A 3,367-nucleotide genomic window follows, 5' to 3' on the forward strand; every position below is an offset into this window, starting at 1 on the left:
GAGAAGTATCGGAGAAATGAACTTCTGCGGTTTTCAAAAAACGGTTCAGAATAGATGAGCCAACTCCTTTACATGTTCAAAAGAAAGAGGGAACAATTTTGTGAAATGCTAAGGCAGTGCAAAGTGAATGTTAAATAGTTTTTATCCACCAAAAAAAAAAATAGACTTATTCAAATGCATGTCTTGCTTGTCTTTAACTAAAGTGAAATTTCTTAAATCCAGCTGTAGTCTTATGGGTGGTGGGAGGTGGCGGGGGTGGGGGACAGCAGAAGCACAGAACGTCTTCCTTGAACTGAACATCATGTCATTTTAAAAGCAGAGGCACACACGCTATTGATTTTTTTTTAATACAAATTTGGCAGATTTCACATGATCCATTACATTTCTCAGGACGGTTAAGATGCAGCTTGCATGATTTATTCAGAATAAGGTCCATTTTTAGCTATATTTAAGTCTCCTATTTGTTATTTAACATGTGTTTAATGTTTTCTGCCCCTGCTGTGCACAGCTGCAAGCTGCTATTTTTTGGCAATTTTTGTGACTGGGAAGTGATTTGTGTCTTTGCATCTCACCTTTCTATTCTGTGGGCCTGCTGTTTTGATTTTTTCCTAAACTTTGAAAAATAAGTTGCTCTGTGTCGCGACCTCTGCTTCACTTTGCTGGGCAAACAGGAAAGCTTAAAGAGTACAACCAACCATGACAGACCTCTTACAGAGTTTTTAGAACAACATCACTGGGAACTGAAATTTCAGGAAATTTATATTTTAAAAAATGCCAAGTTTTCCCATCCCAGCCCCTCAGAACGGATTGAAGCTAGCAATTTGGAAGAACGTCCGTCCTCCAGTGAGAATGTCTGTGGTGATTTAAGTTGATGCTGACATGATTCTGCAGGGCTTAGCCAGGTAGGAACCAATGTGGTACCTATCACCTATCGAGGGGAAAAGGCAGCTCCCCCCCATCCCCCACAACTGTTTTAGAAAACATACTCCAGGATTCTGGAGGCACGTGCCTCAGCAACATGCTTACTGTAACTGTCTCTCTGAATCCATTCTTCCCTGAAGGAGGGTATGCCACTCAGGGCTGTCTGTCCAGTGCCAGGTCAAAGATGCCCCTGAACCCTTCTCTTCCCCTGCACACCTGCCCAGACCAACACAGGAAGTCAGCAACAGACACACATTGCAAAGAACAGAGCATCAGGCTTGGACAAAGAGTAGTCCAACCAGCCTAGTTTGGACCTATCATATATAAGTAAAAAGTCTGTAAGTGTTTACCTGATTCCATCAGACACGACGATGGCACTGAGTGGCCCGGTGATTTATTTTTCCAAAGCCCAAACGATCCTGCTTAATATTGCTTGATATGTGCTAACCTTCCCTTTGCAGGGCCTGCAATTGAAAGCCATGCAGCAGTGGTTTAATCCTGGCCTCTTACTTATCTAAAACACACTCTCTGACTGTGCTGTGAAAATTGAATCTTTTCCCCACAATCTTACTGACATGAAAAATATATAATACAGTAAATGATTAATGCAGTTATAAACTATACCTGAGATAAGATTTAAGTATTCATATTTCTATCATGTTAATACAACACGATAAACCCATGAAGCAAACTTGACCGGGGCATTTGTTATTCTGTCCAGTGTTCAATTATTCTTTGTCCAAATACAATTTAGGGGCTTGCTGTAATGCAGTCACTTGGTGAACACATTATGTGCTTCTGGGAGATAATAAGCTACATCGATGGTCAGCCGAGGAGATCTGCTCCACAGAGACCCCTACCAAACACCAGGGAATATGAAGACAGATCGCATGGGCCCTGGGCCCGGGGACAGGCCCCCTGAAAAGATCATTTGCACCAGTATGCCAGCCTCGTTTCAGCCACCCTTCCTCCCTTTTATAAGAGAGTCTCCCGTTAAAGGCAAACTTATTTGCCGTAATCAAAAGGAAGCTTAACAATAAGTGAAACTGCTTAAAAGCTGCCTTCGCCTAACGCTGAATATGGTTTTTTTATCTGTGACTGTAGAGAAGCCATTTCTTTGTTGGCTCTAAATGGCCCCCATTCCTTCGTTGTGCAAATTGCTCACACGCGCCAATGTGCCATTTACCACCCACCTCATTATTTTTATACTTCCGATGATGTCGATTTTGATTTTCAAATGCCAGCCATTTATAGCTCATTCTAAAACACACACACAAAAATTAAGTGATTCACAATCTCTGCCATTAGCTGGGCTTTGGGGGCCTCTAAGTTGAGGACAAGCAGTATAGCACAGTGGCCACACACCTGCGTGTGGTGTCCCAGATCTGTCCCTCATTAGCTAAGAGACCCTGAAGAAGTTTCTTCACCTCTGTAAGTCTTAGTTTCCTGCTTAGGAAGGTAGAATCGTGCTTTCTACCTCTTAGGTTTGAAGGGCAATCACTAACAGTATGTGGCATGTAATACATCCTCAACAATTGTTAATAATCACTGTATGGTCATTATTTCCTGGGTCTCACTGCAACAAGTGAGCTGTCCGTGGACAACAGGCTCATTCTCAAAGCTATCTGCTCAAAGCTGGACAGGGACCCATGGTGCCACATCTTGCTCCATGGACTCTAGAAATTGCTGCTGCTTTGAGAGATGCTTTCTGCCCTTGGTATTCTGAATTCAGTGCCTGGGAGGAGAAGCACTTTTAAGGTCCTTGGGGACAGGCAAGGCAGAAGACATTTTGTAGGAGGCTCACTCAGTACCCTGCACAAGTGGATCTCAGTGTGGATGTGAACTCTAAGATATAGGGGCATTGGAAATGCAAATAGGTGTGATACAGTGTGTACACAATCTTCCTGGGAGTGTCTGCACACAGGTCCTATGATCCTCTTTAATTTATTTTATTTCTTTTTATTTTTTGAATTTTTCTCTTTTTAGAGACAGGGTCTTGCTCTATCGCCCAGGTTGGAGTGCACTGGTGCAATCACAGATCACTGCAGCTTTGACCTCCAGGGCTCAAGTGATCCTCCCACCTAAGCTTACTGAGTACCTGGGTCTACAGGTGTACAACACCACACCCAGCTAATTTTTAAAATTTTTATAGAGATAGGCTCTCACTATGTTGCCCAGGTTGATCTCGAACTCCTGGCTCAAACGATCCTCCAACCTCTGCCTCCCAACTTTCTGGGATTATAGGTGTGAGCCACCATGCTAAGCCTAAATCACTTTTAATTATGACCCGTCTGTAACAAAGCCAAGTCCCCAAGTACTGACAGAGAGCTCACCTGAGTGGGCCCTCAATGTTCTTCAAAATTAATACCAGGAGCATGGAAAACTCACGTTTTTTTGAATCTCTCTCCAAAGTCCAGCCCTCTGTGGTGGGAAATGGGGAATCCAC

General features: G+C 43.2%; 1 annotated feature.

The window, feature by feature from the left end:
* Positions 983–1,189: a silencer, noted in NCBI's record as "fragment chr19:31566902-31567108 (GRCh37/hg19 assembly coordinates)". NCBI's record gives its function as "represses an EF-1alpha promoter that drives an FKBP-Casp9 reporter gene in an ReSE screen in K562 erythroleukemia cells {active_cell/tissue: K562}" and the evidence as "EXISTENCE:reporter gene assay evidence [ECO:0000049][PMID:32094911]".

Source organism: Homo sapiens, chromosome 19 (assembly GCF_000001405.40).
Source record: "Homo sapiens chromosome 19, GRCh38.p14 Primary Assembly".
Lineage (NCBI taxonomy): Eukaryota > Metazoa > Chordata > Mammalia > Primates > Hominidae > Homo > Homo sapiens.